Source organism: Homo sapiens, chromosome 14 (genome assembly GCF_000001405.40).
Source record: "Homo sapiens chromosome 14, GRCh38.p14 Primary Assembly".
NCBI classification, from domain to species: Eukaryota; Metazoa; Chordata; class Mammalia; order Primates; family Hominidae; genus Homo; species Homo sapiens.
The window spans coordinates 67,647,078-67,675,024 of NC_000014.9; the positions used below are offsets into that span (position 1 = coordinate 67,647,078).

At 43.2% G+C, this 27,947-nt stretch overlaps 3 protein-coding genes and 2 pseudogenes across 3 annotated transcripts in view, besides 4 other annotated features; 2 read left to right on the top strand and 3 right to left on the bottom strand.

Annotated features, from left to right (window-relative positions):
* ARG2 (arginase 2) overlaps window positions 1-4,631 on the top strand; it is a 31,789-nt gene extending 27,158 nt beyond the window's left edge. The window contains exons 7-8 of the mRNA NM_001172.4: window positions 970-1,106; window positions 3,638-4,631. Of these exons, the coding sequence (NP_001163.1) occupies window positions 970-1,106; window positions 3,638-3,843 (343 nt within the window). The 3' untranslated portion in view covers window positions 3,844-4,631. The remainder of the gene's footprint in view (window positions 1-969; window positions 1,107-3,637) is intronic.
* The window catches only part of GPHN (gephyrin), a 1,227,209-nt gene that overhangs the window by 1,138,931 nt on the left and 60,331 nt on the right, over window positions 1-27,947 (top strand). The gene's annotated exons all lie outside the window — the stretch shown is intronic.
* VTI1B (vesicle transport through interaction with t-SNAREs 1B) lies at window positions 8-27,555 on the bottom strand. The gene is made up of 6 exons (NM_006370.3): window positions 27,298-27,555; window positions 15,400-15,458; window positions 12,654-12,845; window positions 9,339-9,512; window positions 6,360-6,421; window positions 8-4,404 (listed from the first exon to the last, which is right to left on the bottom strand). The coding sequence occupies exons 1-6, from the start codon at window positions 27,410-27,412 to the stop codon at window positions 4,308-4,310; spliced, it is 699 nt and encodes a 232-aa protein (NP_006361.1). The 5' UTR covers window positions 27,413-27,555; the 3' UTR covers window positions 8-4,307.
* On the bottom strand, window positions 5,152-5,552 carry COX7A2P1 (cytochrome c oxidase subunit 7A2 pseudogene 1; annotated as a pseudogene).
* On the bottom strand, window positions 10,028-10,134 carry RNA5SP386 (RNA, 5S ribosomal pseudogene 386; annotated as a pseudogene).
* Window positions 21,578-21,707: a silencer, noted in NCBI's record as "silent region_5861". NCBI's record gives its function as "represses an Ori minimal core promoter by ATAC-STARR-seq in GM12878 lymphoblastoid cells {active_cell/tissue: GM12878}" and the evidence as "EXISTENCE:reporter gene assay evidence [ECO:0000049][PMID:35858748]".
* Window positions 21,718-21,767: a silencer, noted in NCBI's record as "silent region_5862". NCBI's record gives its function as "represses an Ori minimal core promoter by ATAC-STARR-seq in GM12878 lymphoblastoid cells {active_cell/tissue: GM12878}" and the evidence as "EXISTENCE:reporter gene assay evidence [ECO:0000049][PMID:35858748]".
* Window positions 27,230-27,339: a silencer, noted in NCBI's record as "silent region_5863". NCBI's record gives its function as "represses an Ori minimal core promoter by ATAC-STARR-seq in GM12878 lymphoblastoid cells {active_cell/tissue: GM12878}" and the evidence as "EXISTENCE:reporter gene assay evidence [ECO:0000049][PMID:35858748]".
* Window positions 27,440-27,879: a silencer, noted in NCBI's record as "silent region_5864". NCBI's record gives its function as "represses an Ori minimal core promoter by ATAC-STARR-seq in GM12878 lymphoblastoid cells {active_cell/tissue: GM12878}" and the evidence as "EXISTENCE:reporter gene assay evidence [ECO:0000049][PMID:35858748]".

Below are 27,947 nucleotides of genomic sequence, written 5' to 3' on the forward strand. Positions count from 1 at the left end.
TAGCCTGTTTCTTGAGGACAGCAGCTTTACTTTTAAAATACAAAGCAAAAACATACACATAATTTTAAATAGTTCAGAAAGGCAAAATTTGAAACACAGGTCATATTCTTCCTCTGGGGTTTTTGGGAGGAGGTTTCCTCTAAATCATTGCCTAGATCTTCTGTCTCATGAATTTTTCTTTATCTCCATCTTTAATGCTTATCTTCTGAGATGACAAGCATTTATTGTTTCAACTGTCCCATTCTTCCCAGCCTCACGATTGTTTCATCTGAGTTTTATATTAAGCAAATCTTGGCAGTGTAGAAAGATGGCAGATGAATACTAATCAAATGGTAATTTTAAGAGCATTTTCCCAATACCAAGTCTTTACTTCTGGGTGATTAATGTCAGAATTGTTATCTGGTAGTATGTCATTTCATAAGCTGTTAAGAAACTTAGTTGTTAGCTTCAGCCTTTGGACACTGGGGCTATAATGAAGTTAGAAATGGAAGATGTTAAAACTGCAGACCTAAAATTAGAGTTCACTTCAGCTGCTGTTACGTTCAGAGAATAAGAGCAACCATAACTTACATCAAGCCAATTTAAATTAGACTAATTTAAATTGTCTAATTAAATTGTCTCTAGATGAGAGCCCAATCTCATCTAGAAGTGAAGAAATCTCTCTATTGACAGTTATTAGTATAAGAGGTTCTAATACCCAGTGTAAGGCAGAAATATACATTGGAGTTAGTCTGTCTGAGGTATGCAGAACAAATGGCAGTATCATGAAGTGGTATGTAGGAAGTTAATATTGCCAATCTCAGTAACTTCCAAGAATAGGAAGCCTGGAAATGTATTAACAGCTTTATTAACAAAGTACTAGGACTAATAGCAACAAAATCAAGGAGTTGCAACCATAAGAAGGATGAGTGTCCAAGGACAACCAGTTAAGTATTATTTTAAGTATTATTTTATCCTCTTCCTTTTTAGGAGACAAAGACCAATCCATTTGAGTTTTGATATTGATGCATTTGACCCTACACTGGCTCCAGCCACAGGAACTCCTGTTGTCGGGGGACTAACCTATCGAGAAGGCATGTATATTGCTGAGGAAATACACAATACAGGTATGTAGCAACCAGGTCTGCAGCCTGTTAACTACATAGGTAAATATGCTAGAGTCTCTTGCCTGCAAAGGATCTTTTCTGCTATTCCACATCATTGCAGAGTTTGTTTTTGCTTAAACTTTTGTAGCTAAAAATTATATGGCCATGCTAATAAAAAGGATATAGTCCTTTAGAGTCATGCTTGGACATGGCTCTTACCAAATTACACTAAGGTAATAATGAGTAAAAAATTGTATATTTAAACAATTAAATACAAGAATAAATTGTCAAACTGATGCAGTTCTTTGAGTTATCTAAAGGCAGATTAAGATAAGAAGGCAAGATAAGATAAGAGTGCAAGGCTGTAATTTGCACTCTAAGAGATTGGTTCATTGGGAGTTGTGAATTTGGAGCTAAAGCTGATCTCTTGAAGAAATCTGCAAACTGGACAATATCTTGGGTCCTTTATGTAGGGTAGGTCTTGTACTAGAGCCTGAAAGGATTTCTAATAAGGGGGATACAGTTAGATGAGAATGGCTGATGGAAAGAGTACTAAGATGAATTCTACGTTATCAAGACTGGCTACTTTTCCAAAACTCATACTTGTTTGCAAACAGTTTCCATTTCTGTCAGAAAGCTTCTGGTTTTAAAGCTACTTCAAATGACCTTTCATTCCAAAATTTAAAGAACTACCAAATCATACTGCTTCAGTAACCATCTGATGGAACTAGGGTATAGATAGAGACCCCAGATTGAAAGGTTCAGGGCTATAGAGAACCCTTGACTAGCTGGGATAGAAACTCACATTGAGAAATGGTCTCCTTAGCGCCACAGCCTGCCAGAACCTTAGGCAGTACAAAAAGGCAGGCAGTACTGGTCTAATTCTCAGATCTGCAATCTTAGATGTTGCCAGTGGTCCTTAGGTTATTGGCCAGAGAACTTGGGGGTTCAATTCTCTGCTTTGCTTCCTAAAAACACCACTTAGAGCAGGGGTTAATAACCTCTAGCACTTATATATGGCATGGCTTGTCTCTTTGTTCCTATGCTACAATATTTTACTCCAAAAGACACTCATGGGGCTAGGCACAGTGGTTCATACCTATAATCCCAGTACTCTGGGAGGCCAAGGCAAGAGGATTACTTGACCCCAGGGGTTCAAGACCAGCGTGGGCAACATAGTGTGACCCCGTTTCTACAAAAAATAATTAGCCAGGTGTCCCAACTACTTGGGAGGTTGAGGCTGCAGTGAGCCATGATTGTGCCACTGCACTGTTATAATGCTGTCAACTAGATACATAAAGCAGTTTGCTTAATTTATAGGGTGGCAATAGTCTGGAAACATAAGTCATGTATATATTTCTAATAGTGCAAACTTTGATGACCACTTCTGGGATATGCTAAAGGTGCAGGTTTAGTCAGTGGAAATCAGAGACAAATCAGGAACACAGGTCCATGTGCAGGAAATGATGGAAATGCTACAGTAATACACCTGTTGGTTGCAGTTTGGCACTGTACACTCAACTATGCATTGCTAATAAGGGAAGATGCTGAACGGACATGATGGCATTCAGCACATCATGTACTATAGTGTAATATCAATAAACCATTAGGTACATTTGCCTGTGTTTCCAGACTTTATGGCCACCCTAAATATTCTTAGATACTTGTATTCCTGAATACTAGCTTGTTCAGATCACCCTTCATCCAGAATAACCAACTAAAAAGTTAAATTCTATAGAGAAGTGAGGCATTTAGAGGGGTGAGCATAGTAGCAGGTCTGGATAGGTTCTTCTGGTTTAAGCTTCCCTTCCACTTGCTCCAGGCCAAAGGAACACTACCGAGAACTTTGACACAAGTTCTCAAACCTTAACAGAAGGTAACTGAAGTCCAGATAAAATAATTAACATATGGCTGAATTTTCTCTTGATCAAGTACAAGACACTGGGTCAGTCTGCTGGGAGACAAAAAGATGTTGTTAGATGTGGAACCTGCCTCCAGAGCTCAGGCCTGCAGGGGTGAGAATGAAGTTTGCAGTAATAACTACATTTCAGGGCATATGGTGTGGTGCTCTAACAGATACAGATAACACATTAGAGTTCAAAAGTGGGAATGCAGTTTGGCTAGTGCAAGTGGCAGATTTCCTCTGCCTTCATACTTGATTCATTTCCAGGCAGGCATCTGGAAGGTTCCTAGTCATACTGGAGGTGGCATACATTTTGCCAACAAGCAGGATGAAAACCTCCCCCACCCAACACCAAGCCTTTTCCTTTTCCAGAACGCCTGACAATTATGCCTGTTATGTTAGTTGAACAGGGATGGTTTATTTCATTATCTTAAAAGGTTTCTTTTAATCTACTATAGCACAACAGTGTTTTAACTTAAATTCATGGCCAAGAGGATGAGGTGCAAGGGGCTTCCTAAAAATAGGTATTTTCTACTATAAAATGGACTCTTGTTTTTACTTTGGCTTGTTCTCCCTGTCCCAGTGGGATGACCCTCACTGAGAGTAGCAGCAAGGGAACCTGAGGTTTTGTCACACTTTGTTCTTCCAGGGTTGCTATCAGCACTGGATCTTGTTGAAGTCAATCCTCAGTTGGCCACCTCAGAGGAAGAGGCGAAGACTACAGCTAACCTGGCAGTAGATGTGATTGCTTCAAGCTTTGGTCAGACAAGAGAAGGAGGGCATATTGTCTATGACCAACTTCCTACTCCCAGTTCACCAGATGAATCAGAAAATCAAGCACGTGTGAGAATTTAGGAGACACTGTGCACTGACATGTTTCACAACAGGCATTCCAGAATTATGAGGCATTGAGGGGATAGATGAATACTAAATGGTTGTCTGGGTCAATACTGCCTTAATGAGAACATTTACACATTCTCACAATTGTAAAGTTTCCCCTCTATTTTGGTGACCAATACTACTGTAAATGTATTTGGTTTTTTGCAGTTCACAGGGTATTAATATGCTACAGTACTATGTAAATTTAAAGAAGTCATAAACAGCATTTATTACCTTGGTATATCATACTGGTCTTGTTGCTGTTGTTCCTTCACATTTAAGTGGTTTTTCATCTTTCCTCCCTCCTCCCACAGCCTGGCTATACAGTGCATCCTTGAACTGTCAGCCCACAGCAGCAATATGCTTATTCTATCCACATCCCTAACATCATGCATTCACAAGGTCAAAGTTCTGGTCCACAAACCCTTCCCTATAGAAGTTCAATGGCTGCGAAAGAATTTGTAGTAAACCAGGCCTCCCAGGATGGCGAGCTCCAGTAAGATGATAATGGAAAGCAGCAGCTTGTTGGTTGTCACTCTACAAAGAGAAGCAAAGTGGGGAGTAGTCAGAAGTTTGGATAACCTTCCTTCTAAACATTTTGGGGTTAGACCTGGGACCACGGCTGGATACTCTGAGGCTGTATGTTTGATCACACAGCCACTTAGCAGGAAGTACTCATAAGGTTCTTTAGCTGTCACTTAGGGATAACACTGTCTACCTCACAGAAATGTTAAACTGAGACAATAAAAACCAAAGCATAAAAATGGATTCTGAAATGTTGTTCAAATAGTAGTTACTTCCTTTAAAAATAGCTTTTCTAGAAAGAAGGGTTAGCTAGAAAAAGTAATCAAATAGACATCCAGCTCAGGATGGGTCCTGCCCTAGGATAAGTAACTAGAAGCCTGGGTAATACCTTTCAATCCCTTGTAAACTTCTTCCCTCTGCCCTATTTTTCCCTTTGCTCTCCTATCAACCCAAATGGGTATGTTATAAAGGTAGTATAGGAGCTTAAAAATTTTCCTATCTGTTGTTTACATAAAGAATCCAACCTCTGGTTCTCATGTTCACTCTAGGTTTCTCCCTAGTCCACAAGGAATTTATCACTGTAGGAAAATCCCACCCCTCCTGCTAGTTCCATGAGTGGGTTGTAGTTTTGTTTCATGCTAGGCCACCTGTGCCCAAGGTCACGTACAATACCCTCTTACCCCCAACTTCAACCTCAGTGGCAGTATTTCTGCCCTGGATTTGTTGCTGTTAGCACTCGAGGATTTTGTTTTTTATTTTTGGTAAAGACTACTGTATTGGTGGCAGTTAGTACAATTCAAATATTGTCTTCAAAGAAGGACTTATTTATTCTCTATGGACTAGGAGTCCATACAGAGCTGAATGAAACTGAATCAAGTCACTGCTGTGATGACTGAAGTCAATCCCATTTCTTGGGAAATGAAACCACAGCCAGCTGATGCATGGCATATGCTGTTTCACTAACTGAGAACCATGGTGGCTCTATACAGGAGGTCATCAGCTCTACCACCCTTTAGATGCACTGGAATTCCATTCTTCTCCTGAAACAGCTTGTGTTTTCTGGACCTTTATTTTCAAAATGCCTGCATGAAGCAATGCTCATGGTCCTCTGGGCAACCTGACAGTGCCAGCAGATTCTGCAGCATCTTGACTCAGTTACTGCCCAAGAACCCTGACAACTCCACAAGGGTTTTATTTTTAAAAGTCTACTTCTTCCCTACAATATAGAACTTCCAGAAAAGGAGCTGACTCCCATGAAGGGCAAGCAGAGCCAAAAGCAAGTACTATGCAAGTGAAAACTACTTTCTAATCAAGATTTTACAAATATATTTCTTTTTTTTTTGAGACGGAGTCTCGCTTTGTCCCCCAGGCTAGAGTGCAGTGGTGCCATCTCGGCTCACTGCAACCTCCACCCCCCAGGTTCAAGCAATTCTGTCTCAGCCTCCTGAGTAGCTGGGATTACAGTGCCCGCCACTACGCCTGGCTAATTTTTTTGTATTTTTAGTAGAGACGGGTTTCACCATTTGAGCCAGACTGGTCTTGAACTCCTGACCTTGTGATCTGCCCGCTTCAGCCTCCCAAGGTGCTGGGATTACAGGCATGAGCCACCGCACGGGGCTGAGATTATATAAATATATTTCAAGGAATAGGAAGCTGTTATTCCCATGTGTTGCCTTCTCTAAAGAACATCAGCTGTGATTAAATGTCCTTTCAGTGGAGAAATTTTTCACTGCTCCAAGTCAAAGCAGTATATACTTTTAACAAATGATTTTATCCTGAGTTATTTAATTATCCAAGACCATATTCCTTAGCGTCTTTATTCTGGTCTGCTGGGTGGTACTGAGTATACAGGGACTATGCGTCAACTGCTGAGGTGCTTTATGAGGACCTTTGTAAGTCACTATTTTAAGCTTTTTGGTTGAAAGCCACTGAGTTAAGAGAAATTTCATGACTTTAATAAAACTTACTTTCTGGACATTGAACGGAGAATCTTCCGACTTTTGCTCAAGTTTTCACTTGTGTTTACCAGCTGAGAAGAGAAAATAGTGATTATTTCCCTCTTTAAAAAGTATACTCTGTACAATTGAATATCCCTAGATTAACAGTAGGCATTAAGGGATATATGTTGAAAAATTCCAAGAAATCAAGCCAATTTAAATGATGGCCTTTGAGTGTAAGTAGAAGAACCTGGAAAGGACAAGATATTTTAGTACTCATCAAGTAGGCTTAAGAATCATCTTCCCAGGTTGCTGCTGGGGATGGACTCCTGAGACTGAGCTAATCTTCTACCGTGGCTACTCCAAAAGGGAAGGCTTCAAGTGTAGCCAGCAGACTGGCCAGCCAGTGACTGTAGAGCAACTTAAGATTTGAATTTCATCAGCCAAATTCCAGGACAGCCTCTTGAGTTGGCATTTGTTTTTGTAGGCTGGTCTGTTACTGCTTTTGGGATCTGGTTTTTTTCTTTACCCTCTTAAGAGACAGTTACATTGAACTGTGAAAAGAATTAACCTCCATGGAACTTTCAACTGCTTGCTACTAATCTGGACAGCTGGAGGATATTTCACCTCCAGCAGATGGCTACTTGCCATCTGTTCCCATTCCCCAGTGGCCTTGGTAAGCTGACCTCTCAGCTCGTTCCTTGGCTTTTATTTATTTGAAACAGGGTCTCACTCCGTCACTCAGGCTGGAGTGCAGTGCTGCAATCGCAGCTCACTGCAGCCTCGACCTCCCAGGCTCAAGCAATAACCCCACATGTCCCCAAGTAGCTGGGATCACAGGTGCACGCCACCACACCCTGCTCCTTTTTTTGATTTTTAGTAGAGATGAGGTCTCGCTATAGAGATGAGGTCTCGCTCTAGAGATGAGGTCTCGCTATGTTGCCCAGGCTGGTTTCAAACTCCTAGGCTCAAGCCATCCTCCCACCTCAGCCTCCCAAAGTGCTAAAATTACAGGTGTAAGCCCGGCCTCCTTGGCTTTTAAATTCAACCAATCTACCTGGTATGTTCAAAAACCAAAACCCACACAATCTGTAAGCAAGTTACATTCTCCATAGCTTGCCTTGAATGTAGTACTTTATTGTGAATTTTCACTGAAGAGGGCAGGGCATTACTCTGACTTAATGGAGAACTGAAGCTATTAAGAAAATCTACTCAAATCTTCACACTGAGCTAGTATTTTCCTGTCCAAATCTTGGCCACAGTATGTTTTTCAAATTGATTTGCCTTCTGCTATTAAGAATACAGCATTCCATTGGTAAATTGTACCAATTAAAAAATTTTGCCCGGGCGCAGTGGCTCACGCTTATAATTCTAGCACTTTGGGAGGCTGAGGCGGGCAGATCATGAGGTTAAGAGATCGAGACCATCCTTGCTAAAATGGTGAAACCCCGTCTCTACTAAAAATACGAAAAATTAGCCGGGTGTGGTGGCAGACGCCTGTAGTCCCAGCTACTCGGGAGGCCGAGGCAGGAGAATGGCATGAACCTGGGAGGCGGAGCTTGCAGCGAGCCGAGATTGCGCCACTGCACTCCAGCCTGGGCGACAGAGCAAGACTCCATCTCAAAAAAAAAAAAAAAAAAAAAAAAATTCCAGCTGGGCACAGTGGCTCATGCCTGTAATCCTAGCGCTTTGGGAGGCCAAGGTGGAATGATTGCTTGAGCCCAGGAGTTCGAGAGCAACTTTGGCAACATAATGAGACCCCGTTTTTACAAAAAATTAAAACAATTAGCCAGGCACAGTAGCACATGCCTGTATCGCAGCTACACATGAGGATCACTTGAGCCCAGGAGTTTGAAGCTACAGTAAGTTAAAATTGCACTGCTGCACTCCAGCCTGGGTGACAGAGCAAGACCCTGTCTCTAAAAAACTAAAAAATTCCTATGTAGGTTAACTCATTTATGGAAAGGAAAAAATAAATGAGTTATTTTTCTGAGGCTCTCAGAGTGACAGCAGACTAGAGATCCCTGATATAGTCATCATTTGATTTAAATATTTGTTTTCTTTCCACAATGATCCAGCTTACCTTACTGGATAATCCTTAGACATTTTTTTCCCTATTACTTTTTTTTTTTTACTTTTACTTACATAACAGTAAAGGGTTATAGTCCAGGATTGAAGCATAATTTATAAATCTATAAACTGTGGTACTATTTTATGAAATCTGGAAAACAGCCTTGGCTCTAAATAACAGGATATAAGCAGATGATGTTTTCGTAAGAATAGCAGAATACCCTATTAGATGTGTGAGAAATTAAAATCTCAGATTGGAAGCTTTGAATCCTTAAGTGCCTTTTGACATATTATTTCTCTTGCCAAAGAGAGAATGCAGCCACTTTATCCTTATTAATTTCTGTAATCTTGTAAGTGTAGAAATCAGGTCCTTCCATCTTTTTTTCCCCTCACTGAAGCAAAAATTTCCAGTGATGTCTAAATCTTAGGGGTAAAATTGCTTCTAAGGGACATCTCTCAGCCAAGCAAACTAAAAATTGAGCAAAGCGGCCGGGCACAGTGGCTCACGCCTATAATCCTAGCACTTTGGGAGGCCGGAGCAGGTGGATCACCTGAAGTTAGGAGTTCGAGACCAGCCTGGCCAACATGGCGAAACCCCATCTCTACTAAAAATACAAACATTAGCTAGGCATGGTGGCGCATGCCTGTAATCCCAGCTACTCAGGAGGCTGAGGCAAGAGAATCGCTTGAACCCAGGATGCGGAGGTTGCAGCAAGTGGAGATCACGCCACTGCACTCCAGCCTGGGTGACACAGTGAGACTCTATCTCAAAAAAAAAAAAAAAATTAATAAATAAAAATTGAGAAAAGCATAAGAACTTAAAAAAGACTATTCCCTGAATACAGAACTGCTGTAGCTTTTGGCCTTAGTACGGTTTCCAGGTGCAGTGGCCCCCTAATTACCCCATACTTGCCCCTTTCCCTGTCTGCCCAGACTTACTCTACTCTTGGTACGTTCTAACTGGTCTCGTTGTTCCCCCAGCTCTTCTATGATTTCTGAGCCAATCTGGTCAGTCTCTGTGGCAATCCGATGAGAACGTTCAATACTTTGGGTGGCCCGGTTCAGGCTTTCAGTGCCCTGCAGAAGCATTGCCCTTTGAGACTGTAGCCGATTCTGAAAGAAGTATGGAAGAGAAATGTTAGACTTTTTCCATTATAAATTCATTGCCAGCATATTCCTCATCACCTTCCCCATGTTAGAAGGGATATAGTGAGCAATAATTTTCATTCCTTTTAAGACAGAACCAAAGAAGCTAATGATTCTTTTCAAGGTCACAGACTAAAGCAGGACCTGAAATCCAATCAATAGGATCACAATACCCCCACTCCACTGCCTTTTACACTTACGCGAGGCAAGGAAAGATGGATTAAAAATACTGGAGCACTTTCCCTGTGTTTGTAATGAATCTGAACTGGTCCATGTGCCTCCTGGACTATCAACTTCTGAAAGGTGGCAGCCCAGATGTGGGAGCTACCTGATAATGCATATAGCCTGTAACTTCGATAGTGCTATGGGCAAACCAACTAAACTCTGCAGCCCTAGAAAAAGGTTAATTCACTGAAGATTCCCACTAGACTGGTACTGAGGATTGACGGACCATGAATAAGCTATTCTGTTCTTCGTTTTAAGCCTCCAGCACCTGGTATTTCCAGGTGGTCTCCCATCCAAGTACTAACCTGGCCTGACTCACTTGGCTTCTGAGATCAGGCAGGTTCAGAGTGGTATTGCCTAGATGACTACATTCTTCTTTTTCAGCTTCTAAAGAAAGCATGTAGAAGTCTGAGACACTACCACATTCTGGAAAAAACGTATGTGGTTACCCTCTTGGTGAGCCCCAGAAAGAACTTCACCTAAGGTCAAACAAAAAACCTTGAGCCTGCCACACTGGGGGTGATTTGGTCTCAGGGAAATTAGTATCTGGGGCTTGAGCAAGCTTCCCCACCTGCCCTAATTTCTCAACTGCCCTAATTTTCTAAATCCCCACCGAAGTTTTACTCCACCTGTAATCCTAAATACAGACAGCAGGAAGAAAAAAGTAGCCTTGTCAGGCCAGAATTAACAACCACTGACAGAAACGGAGGCAGCTCCAAGTTCTTAGCTGTTCAAAGCACGCGCGCGCGTGCACACACACACACACACACACACACCCAAAATCAAAAGGGACCCAGCTCACAGAGGCCTAGTACAGAGCAAGTGACCACTGGCAGTAGGACCATCAAGGAGCCAAAAGATTGGCTCCCAGAACAGAAGTAGCAAGGAGCATTTTCTTTCTTTCTTTTTTTTTTTTTTTTTGAGACAGTCTCGCTCTGTCGCCCGGGCTGGAGTGGAGTGGCAAGATCTCAGCTCACTGCAGCCTCTGCCTCCCGGGCACAAGCAATTCTGCTGCCTCAGCCTCCCAAGTAACTGGGATTACAGGCACCCGCCACCACGCCCAGCTAATTTTTGTATTTTTAGTAGAGACAGGGTTTCACCATGTTGGCCAGGCTGGTCTCGAACTCCTGACCTCAGGTGATCCACCAGCCTCAGCCTCCCAAGGTGCTGGGATTACAGGCGTAAGCCACTGTGCCCGGCGCTCTGTAGCATTTTCACTTAATAAATGGCATACAGACCAGTAGACGAGGAAACCACTGAATGAGGTTCAAATAAAACCAGTTAGGTTAGCGCAAAGGAAGAAGGAAAAAGGTTTTCAAAATAAAAGATGCAGATTTTCAACTGAGTAGGCTAAAAAATGACTAAGAAAAGATCAGATCACATAAATGAACTTCAGACAGATTTGGAACAATACTTTTTCTGAAGGTATGGATACCTAAATTATGTTTTAATAATTTCTGAAACTCGCCAGGCGTGGTGGGTCATGCCTGTAATCCCAGCACTTTGGGAGGCCGAGACGGGTGGATCACAAGGTCAGGAGATGGAGATCATCCTGGCTAACACGGTGAAACCCCGTCTCTACTAAAAGTACAAAAAAAAATTAGCCGGGCGTGGTGGTGGGCGCCTGTAGTCCCAGCTACTTGGGAGGCTGAGGCAGGAGAATGGAGTGAACCCGGGAGGTGGAGCTTGCAGTGAGCCGAGATTGCGCCACTGCACTCCAGCCTGGGTGACAGAGCGAGACTCCGTCTCAAAAAAAATAATAATAATTTCTGAAACTCATAATTTTAAAGCAAAATTGTTTGGACTTCCTCCCCAACTTTGGCAACATGACTAAAGTCACTTTTACAACTCCCACTTTAACCAGCTCCACCTGCCTGCCTGTTTCCAGTCTCCCTTTACAAGTGATCTTCTGTCAGCTTCTAATCTGTGATAATCCCTCGCGCATCCATTTGAAAATTTTAAGTACTTCATTCTCAAGGGATCTAGTTTTGGCATCAGCAATGTCAAGCCAATATCATCCTGAATATCTCTTAAACTATAATCAGGATGCATCGTGAAACAGGATTTGTTTAAAATTGTAGTATGAGCCTTTCAGTCTGCACTGGTGGGCCCCTTTCCATTTCTCTGCCATGCTACTTGCCAGAGAATTTCTACTTTGTGTTGTGTTTGTGGAAGACAGACCAAATGCAGCACATTTAATCTTTCAGACGTTTTATTCCTTTAACGATCTAGCTGCTCTAGATGGTTTCAGAATACAGATGTTCAATTAGTCCAATTTTATAAATCAGAATCCTGAAAGCTAGAGAGGGAGTCTTGCTCACTTTCTATTACCACAGAATAAAATGATAAAAAGCTCCTTCTCGAGAAGCGCCCTGCATTGGCTACTGTATCTCAGTTGCTGGGCCATCTTGACATTAAGGTAAAGGAAAGCTTGGATTGATTTTGTAACAATATTCTGATAAATTAGAAACCTAACTGAATTTTCCAGGCATACCTGAGAAAGTGATTCTAAAATTTATATGAGAGAATAAAAAAGATCAAGGAGAAAAGAAATTAGATCAATGAGTCAGAATCCAGATAATAAGAATAGGTAACATTTACATTCTACTACATACAAAGCACTGTTTTTTTTTTATTATAAGACTGTATTATATTAAGGATAAAAAGAAATCTAAATATGCATATAGTTCGAAAGGCCTGCCTTAAATAGAGCAGATACCAAGGGGTAACAGGAACTGGATGCAGAAAAGAGGATAAGGGTGAAAAAAATGAAACAAGAGTCTAGTATACACTGATAACATGAAATACCCCAACAATATAGTTAATTTTTGTACCACAGGCCCTTAAAGGAAAAAAAAAACAAACAAAACAGCTAAAACTTACCATATGCTCATTCTCTACAGCATATATGCCATATTTCATGTCTCCTCGGCCTCCAGGTGTGGCTGTCAAAGGTGTGCTTCTCACCTCCCGATGGAGTTTAGCAAGGTCCTTCCGGTAGTTTCGAAGCTTAGACATCATGGGGTTTCGGAAAGACAGGGGTGCATAACGTAGCTCCTCCTCCATCTCTGCCAGCTGGGAAGGCAGAAAGTAGTGAGCAGATAGCCTGGTTCTTCCCTCACTCATTTGGAAATATGCCTAGTTTGGACTAATCAAACTACTTATTTATTTGGACTACACCAAGTAAATAACCATATGCTCCATGAGGCAGGGACCATGTCTGGCATGTTCCCCTCATTCTGAATGCCTTGCATAGTGCCCAGCAAGCACAGAGCAGGCATTCGAGTATATGAACTGAATGAATGAATGGAAAAACAGAAGTACTTTATAGCTTACTAAACACTTTTATATACATTCTCCATTTAATCCTCACAACAAATCAATAAGGTAGGAAATGCTCCATTTCATATATAAGACTTAAAGAAACCTCTGAAGATCGCACAAAAAGGAGTCCGGGCCAGGCACAGTGGCTCAAACCTGTAATCCTGGCACTTTGGGAAGCCGAGGCAGGAGGATCACTTGAGCACAGCCTGGGCAACATAGCAAGACCTCATCTCTATATATATATAAAAAATTAAACAGAAAAGGAGTCAGGATTCAAAATCTTCAAATTCTCTCAGCTCTCTTCAATATACCAAGTTTTTAGCCTGGTATGATTGAACATTGCCATCAAGAAGTGCTTTGAAGTCTACTGTATTAAAAATGATAGGGGTCTGGCATCAGGGTTCTTCCCTTCTCCTGCTCCTCTTTCTGAAAATCAATTAAGTTTGTCTCCATGTCAGAGAGAACAGGGGCCTACCCAGAGCAGTCTGCTTTAGGGGAATCAGACTTCCATTTTTCTGGGGTAAGTAAAATGTAACACCTGGACACATCCACAAGAGGCCCTAAATTATTTTCATCTGCCTGGAATGGGCAGCATAGGATTATTACTTTTGCTGAGTTTGGAGAAAACAAGTATCTGAGCATCAAACAAATCAGTAGCAGCTAGAAGATTTTAAAAATGCTACCAAGGTATTAACTGAAACAGGAGAATGGCTACAAACAGGTATCATGGATATGCCCAGCTGTACACAGGTATTAAGAAAAGCTCCCAGTACTCCCATTAGGAAGAAGATAGTTCCCACAGTCTAGTGGCCTGGTCTTTCTTAAAACAGATGCAAAACAGAGAAAAGGATGCAGATGTGCTTCCTTCTCAGAACTTCATTGGGATAAGTGGGAAATTGAAACACTGATCTTCAACAAGCAAGAAGGAAGTTCGCTGGCCAAAAGAGAATTTTTTCTCCATCTGCTCTCGGGTAGCAAATACAGGGCCAACTATTTCTGCGGAGTACTAGCAGCGACCAGAATTTTGGCCCCAATCTTAATGAGTTTGCTGAAGCTAGAGTATGATGAGATGGAGTCAAAGGACTCTTGCTTCTATAGGGCTAGAGCAAAAAAAAAAAAAAAAAAAAAGTTTTTTTTTTTTAAAGAAAAGCCACAGGTGAAGAGAAGCAGTTGTTAAACTGTTCAGTAAACGGAACCAACTTCTGACAAACTTTGGGTACCAACTGAGACTCATGCATGTCTTGCCTGAGGTACCAACTCCAGCTCCTATGTTGTCTCTTAAGACAGAAAGGGACATGGTTAGAATTACCTCTAAACTACATTTTCTGTGACAGTAGGTTTAACAAAGAACAGTAACCTTTTTTTTTTTTTTTTTTTTTTGAGGCAGGTCTCACTCTGTCACCCAGACTGGAGTGCAGTGGTGCAACTGTGGCTAACCACATGCTTGACCTCCCAGGCTGAAGTGATCTCCCACCTCAGCCTCCTGAGTAGCTGGGTCCAGAGGCATGCACCACCAAACCTCGGTAATTTTTTTTTGTTTGGTAGAGATGGGGGGTCTCCCTATGTCGCCCAGGCTGGTCTTGAACTTCTGGCCTCAAGTGATCCTCCCACCTTGGCATCTCAAAGTGTTGGGATTGCAAGCGTGAGCCACCGCACTGACCAGTAACCTATCTTAATGGCCAGCTCTTAAAAACAGATTTTAGGCCAGGCACGGTGGCTCATGCCTTGTAATCCCTGTACTTTGGGAGGCCGAGGCGGGCAGATCATGAGGTCAGGAGATCGAGACCATCCTGGCTAACACGGTGAAACCCCATCTCTACTGAAAATACAAAAAAACAGCCAGGTGTGGTGGCGCCCACCTGTATTCCCAGCTACTTGGGAGGCTGAGGCAGGAGAATGGTGTGAACCCGGGAGGTGGAGCTTGCAGTGAGCCGAGACTGTGCCACTGCACTCCAGCTTGGGCAACAGAGCGAGACTCTGTCTCAAAACAAACAACAACAACAACAACAAAAAAAAAAACAACAGATTTTAAAAGACTGCTTGGGTAAAAGTATGAGAATGCCCTTACTACTCACATCAGCAATATATTACCAAAGAGTCACATTTCAGGAGCATCTTCAGGCTTCACCCATTTGTTTGCCAAACCCCCTCAACAACCATCCCCATCAACTGGCTTCATTTAGTAAGAAATAGTCAAAATCAAGATCAATGGACAGGAACAGTTAATTTGTGATCAGCTCATAGCATTACTTCTGGAAAAGACCAACACCAGGTAGAAGAAACAAAATTTGTTCCTTGTTCTCACCGTTTCATTTGCTTCCTGTTGCTTTTCATCAAAATCCCTGATCAATTTCTTCTTTTCTTCTAGAAAAGATAGATAAGTTTCAAATGCTTATTACTGTTTCCACACATTTGTAAAGGCCATTCCCTCTGCTTCGAATAAGCTTCCTATGGCAGGGCCTGGTGGCTCATGCCTGTAATCCCAGCACTTTGGGAGGCCAAGGCAGGTGGATCACAAGGTCAGGAGTTCAAGACCACCCTGGCCAACCTGGTGAAACCCCATCTCTACTAACGATACAAAAATTAGCCGGGCGTGGTGGCAGGCACCTGTAATCTCAGCTACTTGGGAGGCAGAGGTAGAGAAATGCTTGAACCCAGGAGGTGGAAGTGGCAATGAGCCGAGATTGCGCCATTGCACTCCAGCCTGGGCAATAGAGCAAGACTCTGTCTCAAAAAAAAAAAAAAAAAAAGAATGTTTACCAATAGTGACTCTCTGAAACCCCTCACCACTCCCACAGTGAACCACTTCTATGTTAACTCGTACACTACTTTTCTGCAAAATAAAAATTCCACCTACTCGGCTTGCTGAGAGGCTGTCTGGTGTGGTGCTTGTTTTTCTCTGGGTGTGGCACCGGCAATGACTTGAACGATGAGAACGTTATTCATTCCCCTTTCAGCCTTTCCCATTCTGTCCCTTTGGTTGAGTGTATCTTTAATACCTAAAAATTACTAATCTCCCCTTTGAACAAAAATAGAACAGGCTTCAGCTTCAAAACAAACATCTAACTAAAACAGTATTGTCTTAATTGTATTTTCTGATAGTTTATACTACAGGTTTTCCATCTAAAATATGATAGCAAGTTTCATTTTTAAATAACATTGTTTTAAATAAATGTATTTTACATGAAATAAGTTGACATAAAGAAAATGTAAGTGACAAGGCTGGGCACGGTGACTCACGCCTGTAATCCCAGCAATTTGGGAGGCCGAGGCGGGCGGATCATGAGGTCAGGAGATCGAGACCATCCTGCCTAACACGGTGAAACCCCATCTCTACTAAAAAATACAAAAAATTAGCCTGGTGTGGTGGTGGGCGCCTGTATTCCCAGCTACTCAGGAGGCTGAGGCAGGAGAATGGTGTGAACCCAGGAGGCGGAGCTTGCAGTGAGCCAAGATTGTGCCACTGCACTCCAGCCTGGGCGACAGAGGGAGACTCCATTTCAAAATAAATAAATAAATAAATAAAATGTAAGTGACAGTAATAATGATACTTGCGGATGGCAAAAATTATGAAGGTGGTACCAGAATGCTGTCACCTGGTAAACATTTGTATGGGGGAAAGGCATACAAGCACCTTTTCTGGTTAGTCAGCGGGGTGAGGTTCTGGTGCCAGGTTCGGGCCTGCCTCAGCATGTAAACTTAGATAATTTCCTTCATTTCTTTGGGACCTCACATTCTCCTTCATTGACTACAAAATGAGGAAGTAGGTCATTCCCTTATATCTAACAAGCAAAAATTAGCTCCTTTTAAGAGGAGCTTGATTTTTTAAAAAAATTTATACATCCAAATGACTGTTCTCCCTGGAAATCTACACATAATCTACTTATCACCATAAAGTTACCATCATTTACAATGTTTGTTTGTTTGTTTCAAGACAGAGTCTCACTGGTCACCTAGGCTGGCAAAATACATGTAATATAAAATTTACCATTTTGACCATTTGTGAGGGTATAGCTTAGTGGCTAGGTACATTCACACCGTTGTGGAGCCATCACCACTAACTGTTCTCCAGAACTTGTTTATCCTCTCAAACTGAAATTCCGTACCCATCAAATACCTCCCCATTCTATGAATTTCACTACTCCAGGTACACCATTAAGTGGAATCATACAATATTTGTCCTTTGTGTTTAGCTTATTTCACTTAGCACAAAGTCAAGGTTCATCTATGCTGTTGCACGTATGGGGATATGGCCTTTTAAAGCTATGTATTTTTCAATGTGACTCCTAAACACAAGCCAGCAGCACTTCCACCAACTAAAGAGCAATTTTTTTTTTTTTCTTGAGACAGAGTCTTGCTCTGTCTCCCAGGCTGGAGTGCAGTGGCTCGGTCTCGGTTCACTGCAACCTCCACCTCCCAGGTTCAAGCGATTCTCTTGCCTCAGCCTCCCGAGCAGCTGGGGTTACAGGCACCCACCACCATGCCCGGCTAATTTTTTTACATTTTTAATAAAGACAGGGTTTTGCCATGTTGGCCAGTCTGGTCTCAAACTCCTGACCTCAAGTGATCCATCCACCTCAGCCTTTCCGCTGCAAAAGAGAACAGATGAGCCGGGCTTATGGAGAAATGGCATGTGGGTATTCAGTTGCTGTCCTGAGATTTTCTTAGATGATTTGTCTACTCTGATTTTCATCTTAAGACCTGGCTTTTTTTGAGACTGTGTCTCACTCTGTTGCCCAGGCTGGAGTGCCGTGGCGTCATCTCAGCTCACTGCAAACTCCAACTCCTGGGTTCAAGTGATTCTCATGCCTCAGCCTCCTGAGTGGTGGGGTTACAGGAGTGCACCACCACAACCAGATAATTTTTCTATTTTTTGGTAGAGAGGGGGTTTAACCATGTTGGCCAGGCTGGCCTTGTGTGGTCCACCCATCTCGGCCTCCCAAAGTGCTGGGATAACAGGTGTGAGCTAGTGCACCCGGCCAAGCCCTGACTTTTGAACCCAATCCTACATAAGATGTAATGTCACTGTAATGCTTTATATGGATTTACATTTTGTTAATCACAACAGCATCTAATGTCAGTTATATCTTTTTTTTTTTTTTTTTTTGAGACAGTCTCACTCAGGCTGGAGTGAAGTGGCATGATTACGGCTCACTGCAGCCTCGACCTCCCAGGCTGAAGCAATCCTCCCACCTGCTCAAGCAATTCTCCTGCCTCATCCTCCCAAGTAACTGAGACTACAGGTGCAGGTTACCACACACAGCTAATTTTTTTTTTGGTAGAGATGGGGCCTCACTATGTTGCCTAAGCTGGTCTTGACTCCTGGGCTCAGGCAATCCTCGACCTCAGCCTACCAAAGTGTTGGGACTACAGGTGTGAGCCACCACACCTGTCCTTGTATCCCACTTTTTAAGTGACCATAAATCATTTTGGATGCGTATATTCTATAATCTCAACTTGAGACCAAGTTCCTCTGAAACATGGAAATTTATTTTGTCATTTTTACTGTGCCATAGATCCTAGAACTATAAACCTCCTTAGATGTGGCTACTGCCTGAAAGGGCAAATGACAACACACCCTTTACTATGTCTCATTCATTGTTGTGTGCCACCCCCTTAATATACACAAGATACTTCAGACAATTTTCTCCATACCACTCACAAAACCCATGGCTGTTTGTTGTTTAAAAAAAGGTAGAGGAAGGTTCACCATGGCAAATGGTATGACTCTTGACCATCTATGATGTAACTGAAATGAGCACCAAGGCAGCTATTACTGTTCCTGAGGGGGATGTGTTCTTAGCTACCAGTACTGAAATAATACCGACAGTCAAAAACGGCTACTTCCATGGAGCAGTATTGTATTATTTTGTAATAAGCTGTCCCAAAAGTGCTGAGCATCATCACTGCTCTGAGTCAGCACATCTCCAAACTCAGGCATGCTCACTCCTGATCCAAGCCAGACAGTAAGAAGCAGTACTGTACACATATGTACATTCCCTTCCTAGCTCCTTCCTTTCCTAGACTTTTCTACAACTGTGTTTAGTCATAAATTCTCCTCCTTTATTCTTCCTTTGTTAATGGGTATGAAAATCCGCATTCTCAAGAGGCAAATTCTAGAATGATTCCAGGAATGTAACTACATAAATGAAAGGGGGAGAAGAAGACCACAGAACCTCTCTCCTTTCACTAACTTCTGTGTGCTAGAATATTCCATTTCCTACCTGATTTCATAAAACACATTTCCTCTTATAAGTGCTCTATAACAACATACTTTTACAGAACTTCACTACATTTATGAGATCCTTTCTGGACTTCTAAGATTTAAAACAAAACAAAACAGAAACCTTTGAAATCATTTCTTGTGATGATAAAGCCAGGGAGGCAGATAATTCAAGAGACTGATCTCTACCCAACTGAGAGGGATCAATAGCAGCTTTTTAAAAATTCTTTAGGCTCAGAATTATGAAACCAATGAATGCTAGAGCTAGGATGTACCTCAGCGATCATCTAGTCTAACTTCCTGCCTTTACCACTGAGGACACTAGACCCTGGAGAAACTGAGTGCCTGCCCCACAGTCATTGGAACAGCAAATGTATGGCAGCACTAGTTCTGGAATGCAAGTGTGCTGACTCCCAGTCCAAGGCTTTTCTGTATATTAAACAACTGTATACTGTATACAACTGAGGGGCATTTTTGTGCTCCCAGAGTATAGCCTTTAACAACTGGTAAAATCTGTTGAAAAAACAAAAAACCTCTTCCTCTTTTTAGGGAGTTAGAATTGATGCTACAATCAACTACAAACAGCAAGGTGGCATCCTGGGGAGAATGGGCACCATGAACAAGAATGAACCACTTCAAATACCACTATCCCCCACCCCACAAGCCTGCCCAAATCAGTCACATGTGAGGGACTCTCTGGGACCAACTCTGTCTCCTTTGGGAAACTGGGTGGATGCTGACATGGAGTAAAATGGAAACAGACAGCTCTGAAAAACAGCACTACAGAAAGCCTACCTTAATGTTTGACCAAGGTGGGCAGCCTCTCTTCCTTATGGGGATTTGAATTTCCAGCCCAAGAATGCCTAATCTTGGCCCTTTAAAGTTGTGGAAACAACTTCAGTTTCACCAGCTCATAAATATGTGGTTACTTTGCTTTTGGTGCCTCACTGTGGCAAAATGGAGGACTTACACCCTTTATTTGTACACCGTGACAGCTGACTAGATCCCACACCATACAAGAGTTAAAAGCAACAGAGATCCCTCTCAACCAACCTGTTTCCTCATCTGCAAATAGGGACTATAAGACTACTGACCTTGTAAGGGTTGTTTGAAAGGGTTAAAAGAAATAATACACATAACATTCACTTAGCAAGTGCCAAATATAATAAGGGCTCAATAAATAGAAACCACCATTGTTTCTGAAAGTAAATACTTAGGAAGAACCTAAGAGCAAAAACCAAATTCAGTAGAAAATATGAGGAGTTAGAGGCCAGGCGCGGTGGCTCACGCCTGTAATCCCTGCACTTTGGGAGGCCGAGGCGGGCGGATCACGAGGTCAGGAGATCGAGACCATCCTGGGTGACACAGTGAAACCCTGTCTCTACTAAAAATACAAAAACTTAGCCCGGCGTGGTGGTGGGCGCCTGTAGTCCCAGCTACTCGGGAGGCTGAGGCAGAAGAATGGCGTGAACCCGGAAGGCAGAAGTTGCAGTGAGCCGAGATCGCGCCACTGCACTCCAGCCTGGGTGAAAGAGCAACACTCCATCTCAAAAAACAAAAAACAAACAAACAAAAAAAATGAGGAGTTAGAATAGTTAAAATTCTACAGTCTGTAAGTAATTGGTGTTTATCGGCCAGCTGATTATAGTACTCCATAGTGACTATTTTTTCTGGCTCTGAAAATAATAGGGTCTTGTGTTATACATACTGATCTAAATGATTTAAAATGGAAAACTTTCAATATTTTTATGATACACGTTAAGACATATGGAGAGATGTCTTCAGGTATGACAAAACCAAAACTAGAAATCATGACCACAGGCATTTAACATTGATTAGATTAAGAAATTATAGCACATTATAGTACTCTGAGGTAATTGGAGAGACCTCTTCAGAGGTTGTAAAACCAAGAGTAGAAATTATGGCCATAGGTATTTAATGAAATATTAAATGGATTAATAATTATTGTAAGTGGTAATGGACAGTTACACAAAAACTTCCTAAAACAGGACACATTGTCTCTAGTATCATTCAAAGGCAGAAAGTGAATGGAGACTGTACTTTGGAGAAATACAGTTTTTGTTGTTTTAATAGGTGGAATATACCCATTTTTAAAGTAATGAAAATGTGGACAACAGAATAGAAATAAATCACAATCATATATCAATATTTTCTTTCCAACAATTCACACATTCCATCATCCAATAGGTATCTATGAAGCACCTAGTCTGTGCTAGGCACTGTTCTGGTACTTAGGAAACACAGTGAAAAAAAGACAACATTGAGCTTATATTCTAGCTCAGTGGCTTTCACACTTAGCCTTCATCAGAAACCCCCTGGAGGGCTGTGAAAACACACTGCTTGTTAAAACTTTCTGATTCAATAGGTCTGGGGTGGGGCCTGAGAATTTGCATTTCTAACAAGTTCCCAAATGATGCTGATGCAGCTGGTTCATGGACCACAATGAAACCACTGTCCTAGTGAAAGGAAGACAAACAATATACTGTAAATATCATAAATGTGGAAAGTGTCTAATATGTCAGAAAATAAGTACTCTGGAAAAAAAAAGGTAAGAATAGTTGTATACAGGGCTGGTATTCTTAATTTTCATTTAAATAAAATGGCTAGTAGCTCTATTATCAGGCAGTATTCTAAGGACTTTACATATATTAACTCATTTACTCCTCACAAAAACCCTGTGAAGTAGATACTATGATTTATCCCCATTTGGCAGGAAAAACTAATTGGGTTAAAGTAACCTGTCCAAGGTCACACTGCTACTAGAAGGTGAATTTAAACTCAGGCAATCTGGCTCTTGAATTCTTGCTGTTAAATATTATACTATATGGCCTCTCAATTCACATACTTCTTCATAATTTTTTTTTTTTTTTTTGAGACGGAGTCTTGCTCTGTCACCCAGGTTGGAGTGCAATGATGTGATGACAGCTCACTAAAACTTCAAACTGCTAGACTCAAGTGATCCTCCTGCCTCAGCCTCCTGAGCAGCTGGGATTACAAGTGAGCAGCACCACACTACTCAGCTTTTTTTTTTTTGTAGAGATAGGTCTCACCATGTTGCCAAGGCTGGTCTCCAACTCTTGGCCTCATGCAATCCTCCTGCCTCAGCCTCCCAAAATGTTGGGATTACAGGCACGAGCCACCACACCTGGCCCCCGTATGTTATTTTTAATGGCAGAAGAAGAAACATTTTGTAAGGCTATATTATGTCATGATCTCTGTTCTACAGGTACCTTTGATATTCTCATCCACAACCCAAACTCTGCTTCTCCTCTTATGTTTCTTACTTAAGTTCATCATTCACCCAGTTGACCAAGTGAAAAAATGCAGACACCCTGGAACCTTTCTCCCTCACTCCTCATATCCATTGAGGCTGGTTAATTTCTGCCTCAAAACCAACTCTTGGGCCGGGAACTGTAGCTCACCCCTGTAACCCCAGCACTTTAAGAGGCTGAGGTGGGTGGATCACTTAAGCCCAGGAATTCGAGAACAGCCTGGATAACATGGGAGACCCTTACTAAAAATACAAAAAATTAGCCAGGCCTGGTGCCATGCACCTGTGGTCCCAGCTACTCGGGAGGCTGAGGTGGGAGGATCACCTGAGCCCGGGAAGCCAAGGCTGCAGTGAGCAGTGATGGTGCCACTGCACTCCAGCCTGGATGACGGGAGACAGGAGTGAGAACCTGTGTCAAACAAATTCCCGTTAGCAAGGTGACTGCCCAAAAGGCTCTTAACACAGTCCCCTGTACCCAGATTCTTGTGCTCTCTCTTGTCCTGTCTAGCCATTAATGCCCTCCTTCTAAAAGAAAATCCACATCAATCAACTGCTTTACGTCCTTTACTGACTTTCCATATCAAGTCCAAATGTCTCAATGTGACACTGAGATCCCCTCACAATCTGGCTGTTTCACCTGCCCCTCTACTACTACTTTCCCACATACATTCTAAGCTCCAGAGTTGGGAGTATTCCATGTTTTACTCCTGTGTTGCCTCTTCGCATTTCCCATCTAGCAAACTCCCATTCAATCCCTTATATTCAGTTTGAAGTTTTTTGAAGCTTCCCCCTCTTCCCCATGCTCAAGTCCAGCCCTTTTTATGGTCTCAGAGAACTTTATTTTAGGATTAATCACACACTTGGTTGTAAGGTTTGTTACCTTTTTTTTTTTCTGAGATAGAGTCTCGCTCTGTCGCCTGCAATCTCTGCCCCCTGGGTTTAATCGATTCTCCTGCCTCAGCCTCCTGAGTAGCTGGGACTACAGGCACATGCCACCACACCCAGCTAATTTTTGTATTTTGAGTAGAGATGGGGTTTCACCATGTTGACCAGGATGGTCTCCATCCGTGACCTTGTGATCCGCCCGCCTAGGCCTCCCAAAGTGATGGGACTACCAGCATGAGCCACCGTGCCCGGCCGTTTGTTTCTTTTTAAGGTAAGAACTCTGGAAGTCCTCAGAGCCTAGACAGTGGCTGATACATAATAATTCTCAGTGTTTATTGAAAAATGACTGAATTCAATTACAGAGCATAAGCTACATGCAAGGACTGTATTATGTACATTATGCTGTGCCTAATAATTCATGATGGGCATTAAAGCTCTGAAAACTTTATGATGTGGTCTCTGAACTAGAAAAAGAGGATTCAGAGATGAGGCACCATGTGTTTGCTTAGATAAATTCAATTTATTCAACAAACATTTATTGAGCAGTGTGAATGAGGTAGTGAATAAGAGGTAAAGTTGTTGGACTTATTATAATTCTAGGGATATGTATATATTTTCTTTACTTATCCATTAAACAACTATGTCTGTTACCAGCAACTTAGAGTATTTTGTGGTTGGGCGCAGTGGCTCACACCTGTAATCCTAGCACTTTGGGAGGCCGTGGCGGGCAGATCACTTGAGGTCAGGAGTTTGAGACCAGCCTGGCCAACATGGTGAAACCCCGTGTCTACTAAAAATACAAAAATTGGCTAGGTGTGGTAGCATGCGCCTGTAATCCCAGCTACTCGGAAGGCTGAGGCATGAGAATCACTTGAACCCAGGAGGTGGAGGTTGCAGTGAGCTGAGATTGTACCACTGCACTCCAGCCTGGGCGACAGAGCAAGACTCTATCTCAAAAAAACAAAAAAAAGAAAGAAAAAAGAAAAGAAATTCACATATTTCTGATTGTCCTCTTTGCAGGATGGAGAAAAAGGCTGGGTAGACAACAAAGGTGAATGTAACTATCTTAGCTTTATGTTGCTATAACAGAATAGCTGAGTCTGGGTAATTTATAAAGAAAATAAATGTATTTCTCAGAGTTCTGGAGGCTGGGAAGCCCAAGGCTGAGAGGGCTGATTCTTTCAAGGGCCTTCTTGCTACCCATGGGTCACCCCATGGCAGAAGATGGAAGGGCAACAGATCAAGAGAGCAGGCAAGCAAGAGAGGGCTGAACTAACCCACTCTCTCAACAACCAAGCCACTCTCAGGATAACAATCTAATCTCTGAGGATGGAGCCCTCATGGTCTAATCATTTCTTATGGGTCCCACCTCTTAATGCGATTAAAATAGCAAATAAATGTCAACATAAGTTTTAGAGGGGGACATTCAAACCATAGTAATAATGAATTCAATTTTCTATTTTTCAAAGCAATGTTCTTTTGCATTATTTAGACTTATAGAAATGGGCATTGCAAAAATTAATTCAGTGCCAGGTTGAAAATGCAGTCTACATTTTTTTTTTTTTTTGGGAGAGTCTTGCTCTGTGGTCCAGGCTAGAGTGCAGTGGTGCGATCTTGGCTCACTGCAACCTCCAGCTCCAGGGCCCAAGTGATCCTCCCACCTCAGCCTCCCCAGGAGCTGGGACTACAGGCATGCACCACCATGCCTGGCTAATTTTTTTATTTTTTGTAGAGATGAGGTTTCACCATGTTGCCCAGGCTGGTCTCAAAATCGTTCAACACAGCAATACTCCTGCCTCAGCTTCCCCAAGTGCTGGGATTACAGGTGTGAGCCACCATGCCTGGCCTGCAGTCTACTTTTTTTTCTTTTCTTTTCTTTTTTTTTTTTTTTTGATACAGAGTCTTGATCTGTTGCCCAGGCTGGAGTTCAGTGGCATGATCTCGGCTCACTGCAACCTCCGCCTCCTGGGTTCAAGCAATTCTGCCTCAGCCTCCTGAGTAGCTGGGACTACAGGCAACTGACACCATGCCCGGCTAATTTTTGTATTTTTAGTAGAGATGGGGTTTCACCATATTGGCCAGGCTGGTCTTGAACTCCTGACCTCAAGTGATCCGCCCGCCTCGGCTTCCCCAAGTGCTGGAATTACAGGTGTGAGCCACCGTACCCTGCCTGCAGTCTACTTTTCAATCACATAAATCAGATCCCACAATGCTTCTGCACAGTATCTTTTAACTGCATCCCATCATATTTAGAAAAAGGCACAAGTCTTTCACCATGGTCCACAAGGCCCTACATGATCTGGCCCTGCTTATCGCTCTCCTTTGCTCACTCCATCCCAAACACATGGAACTTCCTGCTCTTCGCTGAACACACCAAGCTCATTTCTGCTTAAAGGCATTTGCAGTGCTATTCCCTCCTTCTGACACTCACTTCTCCCTGATTTCTGGTTTACTCCCTCACTTCATTTAAGTCTCTGTTCAAACGCCATCTCCTCAGAGAGGACTTTCACAACCGCCCTATTTAAAACTGAAGTCCCAAAGAAGGCGGATCACTTGAGGTCAGGAGTTAGAGATCAGCCTGGCCAACATGGCAAAACCCTGTCTCTACTAAAAATACAAAAATAATTAGCTAGGGGTGGTGGCGCAACTGTAATCCCTATTACTCCAGAGGCTGAGGCAGGAGAATTGCTTCAATCTGGGAAGTGGAGGTTGCAGTGAGCCGAGATCGTGCCACTGCACTCCAGCCTGGGTGACAGAGTGAGACCCTGTCTCAAAAAAAAAAATGATAAATAATAAAATAAAACTGAAGTCCCATCCCCTATTCTTTTACTCTGATTTACTTTCCTGTATTCTTTAACACTGCCTCTTAATAGTTATATATTGTTTATCACCTACCCACTAGAATGGGGATGTTCGTATCTTTTTCACTGTAATTTGCAATATTCACCAGCACCTAGAACGGTGCCTCACAATTCACCAGCACCTAGCACACAGCAGCCTCACAATAAATATATATTAAATACATGAATTTCATTCTCACCAGTCATTCAATTCCTATGACCTTGAGTAATTCGTTGAGCAAACACCCAAGCTCTGACTCTTAAATAAAAGCAATAAAACAAAGTTTTGTCCTTGCCATCAAATTCTATATATCCGGAGGCCAAGAACTATAGCAGCTTTTCCTATGGATTTAGGGCCGGAAAACTCTAGCTCCTCCAGACAGAACTTGTAGCAACCTGAATCATGAAATTAAGGGGTAGTAAACAGTCTCAGCTGTAAAAACGTTCAAAACAAGACCACATCTAAATGCCACAATCAGGTTTTAAAGGCCAGCTCTCTACCCTCCAATAACTGGTATTTACCAACACCCCCAAATTATGACTCCTTTGGGTTTTTAACCCTTTTTCTGTGCTACGGATCCTCTGTCAGTCTGGTGAAAACTAGACCTGTCTTGAGACTAGTGCTTTTAAATGCATAAAACAAACAAAAACAGCTATGAAAGAAACCCACTCTACATTACAGGACCGCAGATGCAAAAGCCCCTCTGCTCTATTTGCCACAGTGAAAAAAGATGAGAAAATGTGGAAGGCCATAGAAGGATCCCAGGGAACTGAATCCCGAGGTCCAATTTACTCTCAGTGGCAGCAGGGAGACCTGGGGCTGGGACAAGCCAGCCCTAGGGGGCGTGTCTGAGGACGCGGAGGGAGGAGACGCGGGCCCGGGTCTGGGAGGAAGGTGGGAGAATCTTCCTTCCAAAGCGCGCAGGGCTGCGCTCCCCACGGCGTGGCCCACCCCCGCCTCACCGGTCCCCGCCGTCCCCAGCAGCCGCTCGGGCACCCCTTGTAGGTCTTCATGGAGGCCGCGGAAGATCTCGTGCAGCTTCTCGAAATGCTCCGAGGAGGCGGCGGAGGAGGCCATGGCGCAGGCCGCGCTGGAGCAGCGGCCACCGAGATTCGGGGCCCTGGGCCCTTTCCTAGCCCGGCGGTCAGCCGCCCAGCCCAGTGGCCATAACGGCGACCGCCGCACCACCGCCGCCCAGGACGAGGCTCTTCCGGAGCCGCGGCAGGGTCCTCTCGAGCCGGAACGCCCACCTTCTCCAGCCAGTGATTGCTGGAGCGCCGGCGCGAAAGCCTGACGAGAAGTCGGGAGACTGCGCGGCCTAGGCGACTCCTGAGGGAGCGGTGCCGCGCCGGGGCGATCGGCAGTCGCGGAACCCGAGAAGTGCCGGGTCCGGGTTGGGGAAAGGCCGCAGCGAAAGGGGCCTAGGGGACCTGCGGGACTGGCAGCGCGGCCGCCTTCCTCCCGGGCCCCGCCGGCCGGCGAGGGGCGGGCGCTGCAGTGCACGCCGGGGGATGTAGTTTGGCTCGGACGAGAGCGTCTCGTCCCGGGGTCGCGCGTTGCTCCGGGTGCCAGGTTCAGCCCGCGCGGCGACAGCGGGCTTCGGCCCGATTTG